The sequence below is a fragment of the Homo sapiens genome, chromosome 6 (assembly GCF_000001405.40).
Source record: "Homo sapiens chromosome 6, GRCh38.p14 Primary Assembly".
NCBI classification, from domain to species: domain Eukaryota; kingdom Metazoa; phylum Chordata; class Mammalia; order Primates; family Hominidae; genus Homo; species Homo sapiens.
The window spans coordinates 121,303,419-121,323,444 of record NC_000006.12 but is presented as its reverse complement, the minus strand read 5'-3'; the positions used below and the strand labels follow the sequence as shown (position 1 = coordinate 121,323,444).

Below are 20,026 nucleotides of genomic sequence, written 5' to 3'. Positions count from 1 at the left end.
TGACATGGTATGAGGTATTGGTATGAGTAAAATGGCTCTAGCTCTGACTGAAATAATAAAATAAGTTCTTTTGGAAGGCTAATATGACTACAGTGTTTGGGATGAATATGAGAGGGAAGAAAATATGAGAGGAGAGAGGGAAGTGAGAAGTTAAACAAGAAGGCTGCTGCAGTAATCTCTGAAGTGATATGGCTTTGTACTGATTGATAGAGAAAAAAGGGAGGCAGTAATGAAAGTCAGGGATGTACAGGAACATTAACACATGTTGGTGACTGCATGGATATGATTGAGTGGATGGGCAAGGGGTGCAGAAGATGCAGACATTAAAGAGCATCCTATGTTGTCAAGTTTGGGAGTATTGAAAAATAATGCTGTTAGTGCCAAAAATGTGGTGGGTAGCTGGAAAGAGGAGAGTGCTTTTTGCTGTACACTTTTTTTTTCTTCTTTTCATTCCTCTTCTCTTTTTCTTATAGGCGAATTATAGGAAGGATAAGAGGCCATATATGGGGGGTATAATTATAGCATAATGTCATCAGAAATTTGCTAATAGACATTACATGAACAAGGAATTAACAACTAAAACAAACATTTAGAAAAGATAAGCAAATTCAAATTCACAGCCACTGATGTAGAAAATGAAGAGATAAACCTTTCCCCAATGCTATATTTCAACCTAACAAGTATTTATAAAGTGTTTACTATGTACAAGATATTGCAGATGATAGATAAATGGATTTGTTCTGTTGTCAAGTCTACCAACAGTGTAGAAATCTAGGTGTAGAGGTGGTCAGGAATGAAGCAGGGGATAAAGCAGGTCATATAACTGCATCCAAGAAAATGTTTTGCATGCTAATAGAGAAGGACAGAGTACTTTTGGGTCTTAGGTGAGAAAGGATATCAGTCGTTGAGAAACAAGGAAAGCTTTTATCAGAAGGTAACATTTTAGGCTGTAGAAGACAATCTATACGAGTGGTGGTAAAACACTCTTAAGTGGGTGAAATAATGTTTTCAAAGGTATTGGGAATAAACATCACATGGAGAGTTGGGCATGTGTAAGGTAGTAATGGGACATAGATCTGGTAGGATAAATTGGAATCTATGAGGGCTTTAAATACCAATGGCAAAGTGTGTCTTGAATTTAATAATAGTGATAATCTTAGTAACATAAGAACTGTTTAGGTGGAAGTTACATCAGTTACTACTTTCAAAATGTACACAAAACTCTTCTGATGATGGAAGTTAACTTTTTCCAATTTCTTATTTCATGATTACTGTATTCTAGATGATTTTCCTCATCAGCTCGAATAACTGAAAATCCTTAACAACTGCTTTTCATACTCTTCACTGTCACATGTTAAAGATAGGAGCATAAAAAAGAAATGTAAAGAGACTTCTAACCTGCTGAAGTTTGGGCTGCTTCTGAAATTTGCTTTTCCCTACTGTGGTAATCTTTAAATGATGATTTTTGCCAAGTGTCTCAGAAAAAAAAAAGCCAAAAATTAGTAGATTAGCTTGATGATTTGTGATGAATGACTAATTTAATCCTAGTTTAAGGTAAGAAATCTTAATATGTTACCTTTCTGTGTTGATTTTTTTTTCTGAATATGCTTATGATATTTACCGCATTTATTTTCTAAATATTTGTTTCAGCTATGAATTTGTGAAATACCTCAGGCAGCATATAGGCAACACTTTGGGTTCTATGATTGAAGAAGAAATGGAAAAATGCACATCTGATCGGAATCAGGGTGAAGAATGCGGCTATGATACAGTTGTACAGCAGGTCACTAAAAGAACTCAAGAATCTAAAGAGTGAGTATGGCCATAATAATATCTTCAAATAACCTTCTTCAACAAGACGTCTTGACAGCACCCTGATCTCTGTCCCTCACAGTCTATTTCCCTCATAGCAGCCAGAATGATTCTTTAAAACAATGAGTCAGATCATGACACCCTTTCACCCAGACTCTCCAAAGGCTTCGCATCTCCTTTTGAGTAAAACCCAGAATTCTTTTTGTAGTCAACGAGGCCTACCATGGGCCTTTTGCTCCCTCTCCTACCCCATTTCTTATCATTTTCTCCCTCATACTGCTCTAGCCACTGTGGTCTTGCCTGCTCTTTTGCAAAAAACCAAGTAAGTCCCTCCCGGAGGGATTTGCACTCATGTTGCTCCTGCTACCTAGAATGCCCTTTTCCTAAATATTTGCATAACTTGCTCCTTCACTTTTTTTGGGGTCTAGGTTAATTGATATAAACAGTTAAGTTCCTACAGCATATTTCTGGTCAAAGAAACATCACCAAACTTCTAAATAAAGATAAAAACACTTCTAATATTAAACATTGAAATAAGTGTGAGCTATATATATGTTTAAGAAAGATTAATAAGAGCAAGATAATTATTTAACTGGAATAATTATTCCACTTCAGAGTTGCTGGTAGCCTATCCTGCCTGGCATCTCAGGGTACAAGGTGGGAACCAGCCCTAGGCAGGATGCCATTGTCAATTTTTTTTTCTCGTCAGTGTTATAATGAAAAGATGTTGAATTACATGATGTCATTTGAAAACTTGCTGTGGTTCATATTTCCAGTATCGGAAACGTTTGAATATATACCTGAGCTTATATTAATGACTGTATTTTAAAGTATTAAATCTAATTTACTTTTAATTAGGTAAACTTTAAAAAATTATTTTGGACAGGAGCTCTTCCTCTTTGGGACAACTGATTGTATTATTTAAATTAATATGTTAGCAATTGACAAATTGACATCATACAGCTATTTTAGTAAATTTAGCAAGTTCGATTCACTAATCTATATCAAGCATAAGTTGTAGAGGCTAAGATTTCTTATTTCTTGATTTGAGAAAACCAAAAACAGAATCACCTTTATCTTTGGATAATATAATTCCTAGTAAGTCTGTTTCTAGCAGTATCATTAAACTTAATTCTAGAAGGAATACTAAAATACTTTATTAGACGGTTAATGAAAGTATTTTCATGGTTAAGAGCAGAATTTTATATGGTACTGCTAGGAAATTACTTTTTATCTCTACTTAAGCTATTTGATTTTCCTGTGTTTCAGTTCATCCATGTGTTAAAATTAGTACAGTAATAATTACCTCACAAAGATTTTAAATGACTCGGTAAATGTTTATTTTCCACTTTATGAACCATGGATAAAAGATTTTACATTGTACAGCTTTTTTTTTTTTTTCCCAGTTTTTTTTTTCTTTTTCTTTTTGGTGATTCTTTAGAAATCACTTAGGGCTAATGTAGCAACACTACATCTGTAAACAGCATTTCAATTGTTATAAAGTATTTTTGTAATTAAACATTTTTATATTTATTTTTTAAGCAGATATTTGCACACAGAAGAATTCATTTGTAGGATCTATATAATATACACTATTCCTCATATAATGAGTGGAAGTACTTACTCTGTAGAATTTCATTGTTAATTGATGTGGTTTTTATTCACTATTTCTTAGAGCTTTTTCTTTCTGTAGTCTTTAAAACTTGCAAAGCATGAAGGAATCTACTCAATGGTGTTTATATTCTATTTTATATCTGTTTTTTCTTAGTCTTTTCAAAACTGCAATGGCTGCTATTGAGTTTTAGTTCATTTAACTCTTGATATTGATGATATGACATTATTTTTAAATTTACATTGTAGAATTATTAGCTACTGCCTGTGGCCATTCTGTTAGTATTTCGTACAGCACAATTTATGCTGGTCTTTTCTAAAAGGTCTGTTGGAAACATTCATGTTCAAAGCGAAACTTATAGATTTTCTATGGATTTTAAGTACCATTATCCCTACCCTGTATATCATTAAGATTTACTTTTATAGTTCTTTATTAAATCACCAGATTATAAGTTTTAAGGGGATAGGGACTTTATGTTGTTCACACAGTCTTACCTAGCTGCAAAGGAGGCTGGGGAGTGTAGTTTAGTCCTGTGACCAGCTAGAATTCAATCACTGTGGAAGGAGAGAACAGCTTTTGGTGGATGTGTATTGATTGCTGCCAGGGCACTGTTTTGTTTCCCTGTTTTTTGCTGCCCAGAATCTATAGAGGCAGAAGCTGGGCCTCTGGGCTCAGTTATCCTTATATATACTTTGCAAATTATTGTGTGTGTCTCAGGACTTCTTTTTGCTCTTTATGTCCCTTTACGTTAAACTGGGATATTCCTCGGACTCTGTTACCTCTATTGAGTTACCTTCTGTATGTTTCTCCCCCTAGCGGTTCCTAATTTATTTCCATCTGCTTTCAGTATTTTTGTGTTTTCTCGTAATTTCTGGTACTTAAAGAAATATGTTAAATACATATATTTTAAAACTTTTAGTTCTGTATGATATACATATTAAATATTACATTTAAATATATTAATATATTTTAAATTATGTAGAAATTATATCTAACAAAATTTTAAAATATATTTTATACTTTTTATATAAAATCTCAGTCTATGATTTCTATTCAGATTCCCCAGCAGGTTTGATTTCTCTTATGAGAGATAAACTACCTTTTCTTCTTTTGATTTATAGAGTTGCAATGACGCATTATTCAGAATTATACAGAAAAGGACATTTCTGTGCATATTTTCCTAGTGTATTTTCATTATTTTAATGATAATAAATACGTGTATATATGTATATATACACACACACTATACATGTATTTATTATCATTTTGGATATATATGTGTATATATATATATACACATAAACATATGTTTATTTCTTGCTATAGTCATATGAAATAGGTTAGCTAGATTGTATTTTTTAATCTCATTTTATAGTTGAGGAAATTGAAACTTATTTATGATGACAGAGCTGGCTGGTAAAATAGTCAGGATCCCCATTCAAGTTTTCTAATTTCAAATTTTATAATTTATTCACTATTTTTACTTACATCTTTATGCCTTTTTTGTTTTAAATATAGAAATTTCAGTGGTTCAGGTCACATATGCCTCATTTGTAAAATAAAGAGCTAGACTATATTTATGGTTCTTTCTAGCTCTAAAATTCTATTCTTAGTTCTTTTGAGGATTTCAGTCTCATATTCATATGGATGCTTGAGAGTTTGAACTTACAAAGTAGAGAAATTTGATACCAGTTCTTTTTGAGATTTTTAGACCTTCCGAAAGAGATTTTAAATATTATCCAATTCACACTCCTAATGATTTCAGGAATCTTTTTCCTAACATCCTGAGAGTGGATTTCCCAGCCTCTGTTTGAAAGGACACGTTGATAGCTTAACTCTTACATAGGTCTTGGGAGTATACAAGAGCTCTCAGTTGTGGCTATGGGTGTATATAAAGTATGGGCAAGGGAGAAGAGAAGGAAAGAAAATAAAGGATAGGGGGGTGGAGAAAGAGATAGGTATAAGGTAAGAGGATGAAGGTGATGTATAAAATAGCCTGGGTTTTGGTAGTATAATATTAATAGTTGACTTTGTTGCTAGCAATTGGAATCCATGCCATTGAAACCTCTTGCCTTAGGTTCTTTTAATTTTACTACCTTGATCCATGTAACCATGAAAAAACCTAGGAAATAACATACTTTTTGAATTCTCTATTAATTTTTATTGCTGTTTTGTGAATTCTGTTCTACCACTTCTTCTTTAAGAAAAATTGAGTTCGATTTTTCTCCTTAGCATTGTGTTCTTAAAGGGACTTCCCTTTTTATAGAAAAAAAATTAGATAATTTAACTAGTTGACTGTTTTAATTTCTGATCGTCTTTCTCTTATTAAGACTACCTTGAATTTAAAGGTACAAAGAAATGATGCATTACCTGAAGAACATTATGATAGCTGTGGTCGAGTCTATGATTAACAAGTTTGAAGAAGATGAGACACGAAATCAAGAAAGGCAGAAAAAAATCCAAAAGGAGAAAAGCCATAGTTACCGCACAGACAATTGCTCTGATAGTGATTCATCATTGAATCAGGTGTGTTGTTCAGTTTTGCATTTATGTCTTGAAATGCTGTTTAATAATAATTAGCTTCAATAAATTATTTCTTAGCCATATTTTTCCTGCCTTCTTAAGATTCAGGAGAAAAATAATAAAACTAAATAACCTAATATTAAATATTTAGTCCATGAAATAACATCTTATAGAATTATATTTGGTGAGTAGCTACGTTATATCTGAGATAATTCTTGGTGATATGAGAAAATTAATGTATGTTAGAATTAAAAAAAATAATGTGTTGAACCAAATCTGCTTAAGCTCTAATTAAAACATCTTATTCCCAGTTAATCTACATTAAAATTTAACTAAAATAGAGATGAGGTGTGACAATAAAACATTTCCCTTATACATTCTCTGGAGGTGAAAGTTGTTGTGAATTGTTAGTTTTAAAACATTAAGCTTTTTTTAATGTCAAGAGATTTGAGGTATTACATTTTCTACTGCCAGTTTATAGGAACCCTTGTCATTTGGCTGCAGCAAAGTTAACAGAAAGATGGGCCAGTGGCTGGATTGGCCCTAATAGAAGACAAGGAAAACTAGCTAGACTAGAGCCTATGCATGTGCCATGAACTTGTACACAGAGGCTATCAGGCCAAAAGAAGCCTGTCTGACCCTGGTGTCGATCTCACCTGGTATTTTTAGTCAAACATTTTTCACCTAATTAGCTATACCACAGGGGCATAACTGTAAAATAGATCCTAACCATATACCAAGAAGGGATTTGAGGAGTTTGGGTGAAAACATGAACAAATATGTACATTGGTCAAGTTGGGACTGCATGATTGAAGGAAAATTGGTTTTGGAAATAGTGGAAGCATAACTTAAAAGTCGCTGTGCATTGCCACCATTGCATCATTTAGCAGGAGAGAGTATGCTGAGTAGTGAACTTTACAAGTCAAATTGATTACCTGATGTGATGGAGGACGTGACAAAGATTGTGAATTTTCTTCATGCTGTAACCCTTAATCATTTCTTGCTGAGGAACTGTGTGGAAAAAGGTGGGGTATAGAGATTTTAGTTTAATACAGTCAGATGGCTTGTTTAGTAAGTTTATTGAGTTGCTTCTTCAAATCAAGGACTTTCTGGACTTAAAAGGCACAGAAAACCCAATTTTATGACTCTGGGGGCTCACAAGATTATATGCTCTTACTTATTTGCTGAACCACCTGAATACATTGAAATGGGAACATAAGAAAAATAATGGAGCATTTGTTCTAAGAAGTACAGGTATTCAGATCTAAATAGAACTGATTTCATAGCTGGCAGTTAAGACCTTGTCGAATTCCAAATGCTGAATTATTTCCAGTCATTAAAATGATAGATTTTTGAAAAATGCAAAGCTTTGGTAGAAATGGGGTCATAATTTTAGAAGATGTTCTTGTTTTTTATCTTGTTTTGTTTCAGTTCTTGAGGAGGAATCATGCTTTAAGTTTCCCTGGATTTCTTTGGGATGTCCGCAGGGTATATATAAATTTTCAAGTGTCTACCCTGTAAATATGACTTTGCTTTAGAAGGCACTAATTGGGTTGAAAGTGAGCTCTGCCCATCAAGAAGGCATGGTATCCCTGGACTTTTGGGAAGAAACATATGAGTGCCAGAACTGTCCTGAAAGCTGTTTCAGTATGTCCAAGTTCTAGGAGATATTGTGTATACTTTTGCTTATAGTGAAAAGAGACTCTCTTTCATATAGCTGACCAAAGAGAGGCTGAATATGTTCAGAATTGAAAAGATCTCTAAAAATATATTATTCATTCCAATAAATATTGACAATCTTATTCATGCCTTCAAAATTGTTGTTTCTTGCTGTGGGGTGAAAAAAAAGGTCTGAATTTTCCTATGAATAACATTGTAAACAATGCTGATGTTACTGTTTTGATATTAGTGAAACACTTTCATTTTGTGAATAGAATGGGCTTTAATTCATTGTTATTACTTAAAAAATTGCAGCCTGATTGTATTTGGACTTTTGACCCATTATTGAAAAACAGGAGACTGTTAGTGTAAGTATGAGGATATTGAAGAACAAAGGGGAGATAAGTAGTTATTACCATAGTTGTGAGCATTGCTATGAAAATATTTGGTATTGTGATTAAACCTGGAACAAGTCTCTGCAAAATAATGCCAGAAAGATAGAAATAATAATACCAGCTATAATAATAATACCTGCCATATACTGGTCCCTGTACTTAGCTTTATATTCACTATAGGTATTATTAGTCCATTCTACAGAAAAAAGTGAGCCTTTTAATAATAGTTAAGTAATTTACCCAAACTTGAATAGCTAGTGAGAGGGGGACTTTGAGTTTAAAACTAGCCTCTCTCCCTGCAAAGCGAGTTATTTTTATTCTTTTCCCAGCTACCTGGAGAGAGCTTGGGTGTAAGTTATGGTTCCACCGCTTACCAGCGATGTGGCCTTGGACAAATTTCTTAACTTCTTTGTGCTGTAGTGTTTCCCATTTGTAAATGGGGATGAAAATACTACTTCCCGTATAGGGATGTTGAGAAGATTAACTGAGTTAATGTATGTCTTGTGCTTAGAACAGTGCCTGGCACACAGACACTGCTTTATACAGGTTAGCTTTTATTGTTGATATCTCTTAAAGGGAATGCTGAAATGGACACCATTCAGAGACACACTCAAATAGAAAATTTCTCAGCTGTGGTCCTATATAATTTCAAACTGAACATCTCTGGGCCATTTTTAACTGCTTGGGAAATTAGAGGATTACCTCTGATATACATTAAGCTTTCAGAATTTGTATCCTTTCCTCTTGCAGTTTTTCTGTCTTTCTCTTCCTCCGCAGTAATTAGTATAGTACAGCACGGGCATTGTGCTGTTTTATAGCGTGCAAGCTATTTTATAACCTTCCAAGGGAACTTCACCCCAGGGTGTATACCTTATGCAGGTGAGTTTAGGATAATAGTCACCTATTACTCTTGCCTGACACAAACATGTTTAAAGCAGTCACTGTTCCTTTGTTTTCCAAGCAACTTCTCCTTGAAACTCATCCTTTGGTACCTGTGGTACACAGAATAATGGTCCTCTCAAAGATGTCCATGTCCTAATCCCTAGAACTTGTGAACATGTCACATGACATGACAAAAGGGACTTTGCTGATGTGATTAAGTTCAGGACCTTCAGATTGCAGGATGATCTCGAGTTATCCAGGCGGGACCCATCTCATCACAAGGGTCTGTGTAAGAGAAACCCAGGAGAGTCAGTGTCAGAGAAGGTGCTGTGAAGGCTGACATAGAGGTTGTAGTGATGTGATTGCTGTTTTTGAAGATGGAAGTAGGCCATGAGCCAAGGAATGAGGGCAGCCTCTAGAAGCTGGAAAAGGCAAAGAAACAGATTCTGTCTTTCCTGGGAACAACCTGAGCTCTATTTTGTTGCTAGGCTTTGGATTCTTCCAGTAAGATTTTTCTTGAGTAGGTTTTTTTCCTTATTGGGTACATGGCCTTTCTCCTCTCATTCAGAGTATGTCCTTTCAATTTTCCTAATTTATTTTATGCTATTAGTCTTCAAATCTTAATCAGAATTTCTTGAGTTCAACAACTGTTTTCTGGCCTCTACTAAAATCTTCAAAGCTCTACAATGCTCTTTTTGGTGAAGAATTCTGCTTGTAAGGATTTTATACTACTGCTGAGAAATGGCAAGACACTTATCTCTTTTTTTGGCAACATCACTCAGAGCAGTAGGATTAGCTACATCCCAGCCTGTACTTCAGAAGTTCCTCCATGTCTGGCTACCCTCACTTGATAAGATTTTAATTATTATTTGTTTTGTAAGCACAAAAAGATGGAGTCATAAAATCTTAAAAATCTCTGCAGAATTTCACTTCTGTAGAAGTGAAAGGGAAAGATAGCTAGGATTTTTAAAAGATGAACATAGTAGCATTGATTCTGCAGCTGCCTAGAGTTAGGCCTGGGACAGGTGGATTATTTGGAAGAGGAATGTGTAGGGGCAGATGTGAACTTATTTTTGCTTGCTGGCTTGTTTGTTTGGTAAAAGTACAAAAATCAGCCAGGTATAGTGGCGCGTGCCTGTAGTTTCAGCTACTCGGGAGGCTGAGGCAGAAGAATCACTTGAACTCGGGTGGTGGAGGTTGCAGTGAGCCAAGATTGCACCACTGCACTCCAACACTCCAACCTGGGCGACAGAGTGAGATGCCGTCTCAAAAAAAAAAAAAAAAAAATTAAGGCCAGGCATGGTAGTTCATCCCTGTAATCCCAGCACTTTGGGAGAGCAAGGCAGGAGGATTGCTTGAGACCAGTCTGGGCAACATAGAGACAAGGTCTCTACACACACACACACACACACACACACACACACACACACACACACACACACACACACACACACACCACCTTAGCTTGGCATGGCATTGTGTGCCTGTATTCCCAGTGATGGGGAGCTGAGGCAGGAGGACTGCTTTGTTACGGGAAAAGTGGTCTTGACCCAGAACCCAAGAGGGAGTTCTTGGATTTTGTGCAGGAAGGAATTCAAGGCAAGTTGCAGAGTGCAGTGAGAGGAGATAGTTTATTGAAAGCTACTCAGTTACAGAGTAGGGAGTCCTCAGAAAGCAAGTGGAGGAACGCACTATCTTTTTTACAAGCTTTTCTTATATTGTCTATGTAAAGACTAAACTAAGCTGTGTCTACATGCAAGTGGGCTGACAGCATGGCACAATTTATTTTTCTCTTGATTTAAAGAAAACTATCCTTGACATTTTAGCATGTAAGTACATCAAAGCATAACTATAATTATCTTGATAGCATATATTGCTATGTGTACTGAGACATCTGGACTTTCTGTTGTAGGAATTTGCCTTTCAGGAATTACCAAGCTGGTTCCTTAGCTGTAAACATCTTAGGACCATGGATTGTGACTGGCAAGGAATGTGCCTTGTTAGTCTCAAGTTGGAGTTGACTTTAAAATGAGGTCACTGTGGCTCTCCTAGGCTCCTGCTTCCCTAATTGCATGAGCCCAGGAGTTCGAGGCCACATTGAACTATGATTATACTACTGCTGTCCAGCCTGGGCTGCAGCAAGACACCATCTTAAAAAAAGAATTAATAGACTTTTTTTATTCTTAATGTAGCACTTAAAAAAATTACTTTAAGTTCTGGGATACATGTGCAGAATGTGCAGGTTAGTTACATAGGTATATATGTGCCATTGTGATTTGTTGTACCTATCAACCCATCATCTAGGTTTTAAGCCCTGCATGCATTTGGTATTTGTCCTAATGCTCTCCCTCCCCTTGCCCCTCATTCCCTGACAGGCCCCAGTGTGTGATGTTCCCCTCTCTGTGTCCATGTGTTCTCATTGTTCAACTCCCACTTATGAGTGAGAAGATGCGGTGTTTGGTTTTTTGTTCCAAGACAGATGATGATTTCCAGCTTCATCCAAGTCCCTGCAAAGGACATTAACTCATCCTTTTTTATGGCTGCGTAGTATTCCATGGTGTATGTGTGCCGCATTTTCTTTATCCAACCTATCATTGATAGGCATTTGGTTTGGTTCCAAGTCTTTGCTGTTGTGAACAGTGCCACAATAAACATACGTGTGCATGGGATTGCTGGGTCAAATGGTATTTCTGGTTCTAGATCCTTGAGGAATAGCCACGCTGTCTTCCACAATGGTTGAACTAATTTACACTCCCACCAAAACTGTAAAAGCATTCCTATTTCTCCACAGCCTTGCCAGAATCTGTTGTTTCCTTACATTTTTTTTTTTTTTTTTGAGGTGGAGTCTCACTCAGTTGCCAGGCTGGAGTGCAGTGGCATGATTTTGGCTCACTGAAACCTCCGTCTCCTGGTTCAAGTGATTCTCCTGCCTCGGCCTCCCGAGTAGCTGGGAGTACGGGCACGTGCCACCATGCCCAGGTAGTTTTTGTATTTTTAGTAGAGACAGGGTTTCACCATGTTGGCCAGGATGGTCTAGATCTCTTGACCTCGTGATCCGCCCGCCTTGGACTCCCAAAGTGCTGGGATTATGGGTGTGAGCCACTGCGCCCAGCCTACTATTATAATTTTTATTTTCAGATGAAGTTTTAGATATTATACATGTTTAAATTGTCTTTAGTAGGAAAAAGACCCTTTCTTTCTCCAAAATATCTTATAATCTACTATAAACTTTTTTATAGATGGAAGTTTTTACTTCAGGAGTTTTTTCACCAAAGAACTATGGAGAAAGGCTAAGGAAAAGTATAGGAAAGAAAGAGAACAGAACAGTCCAAACAGCACTGTAGCTGTGCCTAGGGTACTATTGGTAGCTCTTTTTTTACTTGTTTTGTTTATGTCTGTTTCATTCATCTCACATTTCTGAGTATGCAGCATTTTGGCTTTGTGTCTTTTGAGTCTTATAATGTTATATATACTTTAATTGCTTGGCAAATAATAGTTTTCATATACATGAAGGTACACTTTCTACTGGGACATTCAGTTCCCATTTAAAAGCCTTGGGAAGAAAAATTCTAAGTTGCTGCCAAATCAAAATAGATCATCTCCTTCTCTTGTCTGGATTGTGTTTTGTGCTTGGAATTATATTGAAAAAATAACTTATAGCAATAGTTCTAAAAGCCTTCTAAATAAATGAATGTCCTGACAATTGTGTTACAGAGTTACAAATTTTGTCAAGGAAAATTACAATTGATTTTAGACCAGTTGGATCCTGGGCAACCTAAAGAGGTAAGTTTCAAGGATAGCTGTCAAGTTCATGCAGATAACATACATTTACAATATATGAGATTACAATCAGTAGCAACCAGGTTGTTTCCCTTGAGGCTAAGCCTTTATGATTATGGGCAATCCTGGACTGATATCCCTGGTAAACTTTAAAGTCCAAATGAAAAGTCACAGAATAAGGGAGGCTTTCCTCAGAGAATTGTCGTGGTTTGGAAGAGGAAATTTTTATCTTCAGCATCAATTTCAAAGGGATAAAGTTATAGGCAGTTGTCCCCCAAACTGTTCTTTCACTGTTATTTTATATGTAACATTGTAGTTAGTCATTTCTTAAGAAAAAGATTTTTAATTCTTTTTTTACTTTCAGAAAATGTGAACAGCTTTTTAAAATAATTATTTTTAATGATCAAATAAAAATCGTGTATATTCGTCTTGTACAACATGTTTTGAAATATGTATACACTGAGGAATGGCTAAGTTGAGCTGTTCTAACATGCATTGCCTCACATACTTATCATTTTTGTGGTGAGAACATTTAAAATCTACTCTCTTAGCAGTTTTCAAGAATAAAACATTGTTATTAACATAGTCATCATGTCATCATGTTATACAGTAGATCTCTTGAATTTACTTCTCCTAACTGAAATTTTGTATCCTTTGACCAGCAGTTACCCATGCCTTCCCTAACTATCTGAGCAATTTTGACCCATTTGTTTATTTTTTAGAAAAATTTTATATATATATATATTTAAGATAGGGTCTTACTCTGTCACCCAGGCTGAAGCACAGTGGCGCAATCATGAATCACTGCAGCCTCTACCTCCCCAGGCTCAGGTGATTTTCCCACCTCAGCCTTCTAAGTAGCTGTGACTACAGATGCACGCCACTGCACCTGGTGAAATTTTGTATTTTTTGTACAGATGGGGTTTTGTCACATCACTTAGGAAGATCTCAAAATACTGTGCTCAAGTGATCCACCTCCCTTGGCCTCCCAAAGTGCTGGGATTATAAGTGTGAGCCACTGTGCCTGGCCAGAAAAAGGATTTTTAAGAGAAGCAATTATATTGAATTGTGTCTGTTTATATTTTAAGAGATTGTACAAATCACTGTTTATGAAGAATTATTTCATTTGAAAGTCAGCATGAAATAGAAAATATGATAGGATTTTTGAAGATTTTTTTTTTAACCTAAGCCTTTTTATGTATTGGTATGCGTATCTTGCCATTTGGTCTCAATTTTTAAAATTATTTTTCTCAAACTATTAAATTTAAACTAAATGAATAGTTGTGATTTACTCCTACTGAAATTTTTAAAAAACTCATAGAGAAGAATAATTTTTTTCTTCTCAACATTTTGCATTATGATTTATTTTCTGGGTTCATAGTAAATAATAACATCTTTCAAAAATATCGGAAATGAGTTTTAAATTTTATATGATAAAAATCCTGTTGCCTTCAATTTAAATGGATGATTTGGAAACTATACTTGTTTAGAAACCTACATTTTGCTTCTGCAAGTAGTAAATTCTTAATGGCATTTTTTCCTAAAAATTTCCTGAAATGGAAAAATTACTTAACATTGTAAATGAATTCCTAATCTTAAATCTCTCAATATTTCCCTTGCTGCCTATCACAAATAAAGTTATATTGAGGAGTTCTTTCATATGAATATATAGACAGTTTCAAATATATGTATATTCTTTGTCTATTTTGTCTAAAAGTTGGGCCCTGGTTCAGAGTGTCTGATTTGCTGAGGTTTTGGCTCCTGTCTCTTAGGCCTCACCTTTTTAATGACTAGGCTTTAGTTGTTTCAGTTGGGAAATGACCAGGTTTTGAGGATGAGGCTGGAATTAGTGTGTTATTATTCACGACTTGGATATTGAGTGGGAGAAAAGCTTTGTTCCATTCTTCATTGGAGTGGAACTATTCTCTACTACTTTCCCTTGGGTCATACTGTTTTGAGTGAATTCTGATTGCATTTTGAGAAGACTGATTAAGAAGTAAGCTTTCTGCAGCGAGCCGAGATTGCGCCACTGCAGTCCGCAGTCTGGCCTGGGCGACAGAGCGAGACTCCGTCTCAAAAAAAAAAAAAAAAAAAAGAAGTAAGCTTTCTGTGAAAATACAGAAATACAATTTTGCATCCCACTGCTGAAAGACTTACTTTTTTTTCTACCTAAGTAGTCAGAAGGCCAGAAAATATGGTGTAGCAGAAAAAACAAGTTCAAACTGATTGTTTTGTGAGAATTGTTCATATATCCTAGAATGGAAATGCTTTGCCAGGGGCATATCTGGGCAATGTTTTGAAATTAAAGCCCTCAAACTGTAGGAACGGCCTAGAATAGGGAAAGCCTGTAGGACAAGGCTACTGGAAAATGTTGCATTGGTGATTCTGATTCAACTACCATTCTTCCTCCCATTCCTCTTAGACATGATACCTAAAATCTGCTACCACATTTAGTATTTTAATTTTTGCTTTACACAAACAGCAACTGTTTTTTTTCTCTGCTTAGCACTTAGTTTAAAAAATGATTTCTCAAGAGCTTTTTAATATAAAGGCATCTGATAAATCATTCTTTATAAATTATCCAGACTTTACCTTTTAGTAGTTTGTTAAATATTGTTTTGGAAAAGTGGCATTATTTTAGTGACTGAGTGTTAATAAAAGTCTTTTAAAAAAATTGTAGGTGAGATATGAAGCCTTGCAAACATTATGTTCAGCTCCTCCATCTGATGTCCTCAACTGTGAAAATTGGACTACTCTCTGCGAAAAACTGACCGTGTCTCTTTCAGATCCTGATCCTGTGTTTAGTGTAAGAAAATGGTTATAGAAATATTAAAAATAATTTGTTTTCCCACCATTCTGGAAATAAATAGAATATGATAGTTACGATAGTTTTCTTTTCTTTTCTTTTTTGTTTTTTTTGAGACCGAGTTTCACTCTTTTTGCCCAGGCTGGAGTGCACTGGTACTACCTTGGCTCACTTTAACCTCTGCCTCCCAGGTTCAAGTAGATTCTCCTGCCTCAGCCTCCTGAGTAGCTGGGATTATAGGCATGCCACCACCAAGCCTGGCTAATTTTTGTATTTTTAGCAGAGATGCGGTTTGACCATGTTGGCCGGGCTGGTCTCGAACTCCTGACCTCAGGTGATCCGCCCACCTTGGCCTCCCAAAGTGCTGGGATTACAGGCATGGGCCACGGTGTCTGGCCGATAGTTTTCTTTAATAGTAGCTGACACATTTATGGAACTTCAGTTTCAGCTTTCTAATTGTCAAAATTTTTCTTAACAAAATTTTGTGATTAGAGTCAAAATATGGTCATATTTCATTGCCAAATAATACACTGCTACCTTGTGCATTTTATCTTGTAAAGGAATATCCTAGTATTTTATTTTTGTTTCATTTTGTTTTTTGAGACAGGGTCTTGCTCTGTCACTCAGGCTAGAGTGTAGTGGCATGATCACAGCTCACTTCAGCCTCAACCTCCCAAACTCAAGTGACCTTCCCACCTCAGTCTCCCAAGTAGCTGGGTATTATAGGCATGCACTACCATGCCTGGCTGATTTTTGTATTTTTTGTAGAGATGGAGCCTCACCACATTGCCCAGGCTGGTCTTGAACTCCTGGGCTCAAGCGATCCTCCAGCCTCAGCCTCCCAAAGTGCTGGGATTACAGGCTTGAGCCACCACGCCTGGCTGTGTCATTGCTTTTGAATGATGCTGTTTTATGATACTCTCAAATTAAAAAAAAAGAAAAATATTTTAAAAGGATTCATGGTATATGAAAATTTGAATGAAAAATGATGAATTATGGTTTATTCGAAAGGGCTTATAAACATTTTCCTCTTGTATTTAAGTGTTTACTTAGAGATTGCTTAACTGCTTAAAGAAAGAAGCTAGAAAACTAATGTTGAGATTTTAGAAAATAATTTGAGGTGAATCATAAAGCAAATATAGAAAGTTTCTAAAATTGTAAAATTATGAAGTCAGTAGATATGATTTTATTTAAAAATTGGTTTGCATATGACTTTTTAGGAACAGTTATCATATGATGAAAAGTAAGCTTTACATTAACAAGTGCAGTAATTCTACAGGTAGTATCTATGATGGGAATGAAAAGAAAACCCCTGATTATCCAAGAATTGCATTTTAAACACAAATTGGATTTCCTTATAGAGGATCTTTTCTTCCTAATTGATATATCAGTGAAGATAGTTTTGGCTTTAAAATCGATATGATGTTTGGCATAGAATTTAAGGCATTAGCAGAAGAGTTACATTTTGCTCTTTGTTCAGCAAATATATATTGAGTATCTACAGTGTGTATCATTCTCGTTTAGACACTGGGAACACACCATGGACAGGACACAAAATCTTCACCCTCAGAGAACTTAGATTTCAGTAGATAACACAGACGATAAATAAATAGTTGTAGAAAAATTTAAGGTATCGCAATATGTTTGTCTATTTAAAATCAGTCTACTGTCTACCATTAATAAAGATATGATTATACTGGTAAACAGAAGTGGTTTGGGAATCACTGTTTGTAATTCTCATAAAGGGAAGGTGTTTACCTAATACTTGGATGCAGTTCAACCTTGTTAACACCAGAGGGTATTGTAGACTTCTGGAACAGCTCAATGATCCAAGAACTTCAAGGTGAAAACATATTATCTCAGGGTTATCTTTAACATTTCATGCTCTCTAACGACGGATGCAATTGTAAATTTCCCCGTATTTTTTCTTTTACTTAATAAATACAGAATAGTAGCAGAATAGGTTTCCTTTATTTTATAAATTATGAAATAACTTTACAAAATAGCAAATTGTAGCCATTTTAAATTATTATGCAGCAAGGTTCAGTTTTATTACTTACGCTAATAAAATTGGAAGCAATTATTATAGAGGAGAGATGGTAATAAAATTAGTCATTTTGAAGTAGAAAACAAGGCATGGAGTTTTTTTCATTTTAAATTTGTGCTTGATCCAAATTCTTTTTGAGTTCAATTCTATTTCTTCATCTCCTCCTCTAAAGGACTCTTACATGCAACTGAGTGAAGCCTATAGGGTTGAAAAGTATGACAGATACCTATCAGTTGCTGCAACTATAAAAATAGACTTCCCAAAGTATTTAATATCCTTTGTTCAGTAGGAATTTCTTGGGGCCATTAGAAGATATTTTCAGTAACTTGGGGAACTATTTCTTGTAAGTGGATTATCTAAACTGGTATCAACAGTGTTATTAATCCCCCCCCAGATTAGACTATTTAAGGCAATTTTATGTTTTTATTTAATGGAAAGTTGAATTTCACTATTAGGATTAATCTTATCATGATATTAATAAAGTAGGTATAATTAAAGGGATAATAATAGCTACCATTTTAAAGTAACTCTTAGTGCCAGGCATTATGCTAACTACATCTGTTGCCACTTTTAACTTATTTACCTTCTAATGGTTTCTATTTTAGAGTTTTAATAATGTAAAAATTTAAACATAGAGTAATTTTCTTGGGAATAGGCAAAATTATTAGAAATAATTCTAAATCTCTAATTACTGAAGCTACCCATGTAAGCAATTAAAAATGATGAATTTTCGATTTGGAAATACGGGGTGTTAAAAAAATTTAGTACTGCCTACTCTGTTCCTTTGTTTGACACCTTTACATTGTCTCCTCTATGAAACCTCACCTTACCCCCTCCTCACCATGTCAGTATATACTATGACCGGATTGTGCAGTAATAGCTTTCTGTTATTAGATTCACATATTAGTTTTGGTCAGTTTTAATTTTTGCTGACACAGAGTGTGCCCTTTTTAAATAAGTACATTCTGACTCTAGTTTCTGAATGGTTTATTTGTATTTATTTTATTTTCTGAGTTTTTACTGTGTGAAAAATGTTTCATCTCTATTCTATTCTTGTGAGATCTTAGATGCAAATTTTCTGTCTCATTTCCGTAGGACCGGATTTTAAAATTCTGTGCACAGACATTTTTGCTTTCTCCATTACATATGACCAAGGAAATTTATACAAGCTTAGGTATGTTTGTGAAAACATTTAAAAATGTTTTTTGTCATTTGCATGTACTTAAGAATGGATAGGAAATAATTTTTTTCAGAAAGCACTGTAAATGAATGATGTAATTTTATGTTTTCCCTTTTTTTTCAGCTAAGTATTTGGAGTCATACTTTCTTTCTAGGGAAAATCATATTCCTACTCTTTCAGCTGGTGTAGATATAACTAATCCTAATATGACTCGCTTACTTAAAAAGGTATCCATTTACTACAATATGCTTTCATTTTTATTTATTTAGTTTTATATTTGAGGATGCTAATTTTTTGAGAACTATTGTGCACTGCTTTGTAGGTTCGTCTTCTAAATGAATATCAGAAAGAAGCTCCATCTTTCTGGATTCGTCATCCAGAGAAGTAAGTCCCCTCCCAATGTATGCCAGCATAAAACCTAGCGGTGTTACTGCCCCATATACGTTTCAGACAGAAAGAGTAAAGACAGTCTTAATGGACTTACCTGATTGGGAAGGGATTAATAAAATTTTTATTTTTATTTTTCTTCAGCTTGTCATGTTTTATACTTAGCTATGTGAATTACTGTATACAGGTACCACTTTACATCATTTATCACAAGGTAAAAAAAATGTAGCATTAGTTTTTTTTTTTTTTTAATGTATCAGTGATTTGAAGGTCTGCGTTAGGTTCTTATTGGTCTTTGCTATTGCATTTTGGACAAGTTCCTTAAATATTCTTTAAACTTTTTCCTTTCAGCTCTAAAATTTATACTAAGTTGTAAGATAATCTGTGAGTCTGAAAAGGAAAGTTAAATTCACAGATCCAGTGTTGAAGTAGAAAGAACCTGTAGTTAAAGCAGAAACATTGAGTATGAATCCTACCTGTCATTTACTGAAATAGAAAAAATGTTTCTGAAGATTATATGCTACTTTATCATTCCATGAATATAAAGTATACCACCAGAACTATATGTGTAATTGTATTTCTTTTTTCCCAAACTTTAAGGTATATGGAAGAAATTGTGGAGAGTACTTTGTCCTTGTTAACAGTTAAACATAATCAAAGCCATGTTGTCTCACAAAAGATTTTGGATCCGATCTACTTTTTTGCATTAGTTGATACCAAGGCTGTGTGGTTCAAAAAGTGGATGGTAAGGAAAAATAGAATATTTTTATACCTTTTAGTGCATTGCTATATCATTTTAATAAATAGTTAATGTTTGAATACTGTGTGCTAAGAGTTCTAATCACTTTTACATGTGTTAGCTCATTTATTTCTTATAAAACTTTACGAGGTTGGTGGTATTAATACCCCCATTTTTCAGATGCAGTAACTGAGATATGGAGAA

At 34.9% G+C, this 20,026-nt stretch overlaps 1 protein-coding gene across 23 annotated transcripts in view, besides 1 other annotated feature; it reads left to right on the top strand.

Moving 5' to 3' along the window:
- TBC1D32 (TBC1 domain family member 32) overlaps positions 1-20,026 on the top strand; it is a 255,236-nt gene that overhangs the window by 11,285 nt on the left and 223,925 nt on the right. For 19 of the 23 annotated variants that reach the window (XR_942346.3, NM_001367759.1, XM_011535570.2 and 16 more), the window contains 8 exons: positions 1,651-1,812; positions 5,773-5,950; positions 12,598-12,666; positions 15,344-15,469; positions 18,612-18,690; positions 18,820-18,923; positions 19,019-19,080; positions 19,684-19,828. Coding sequence is in view for 21 of the 23 variants with exons in the window: in NM_001367759.1 (NP_001354688.1) it covers positions 1,651-1,812; positions 5,773-5,950; positions 12,598-12,666; positions 15,344-15,469; positions 18,612-18,690; positions 18,820-18,923; positions 19,019-19,080; positions 19,684-19,828 (925 nt within the window). In the remaining 2 variants the exon portion in view is untranslated. Of the gene's footprint in view, positions 1-1,650; positions 1,813-5,754; positions 5,951-12,597; positions 12,667-15,343; positions 15,470-18,611; positions 18,691-18,819; positions 18,924-19,018; positions 19,081-19,683; positions 19,829-20,026 lie in introns of those variants that run through there. The other 4 variants (XM_047418311.1, XM_047418310.1, NR_104452.2 and 1 more) reach the window with 3 other exon arrangements.
- Positions 11,503-11,672: an enhancer, noted in NCBI's record as "experimental_89176 CRE fragment used in MPRA reporter constructs". NCBI's record gives its function as "activates a minimal promoter by MPRAs in K562 erythroleukemia cells, with activity observed for both the introgressed and non-introgressed 6:121633004 variant alleles {active_cell/tissue: K562}" and the evidence as "EXISTENCE:reporter gene assay evidence [ECO:0000049][PMID:34662402]".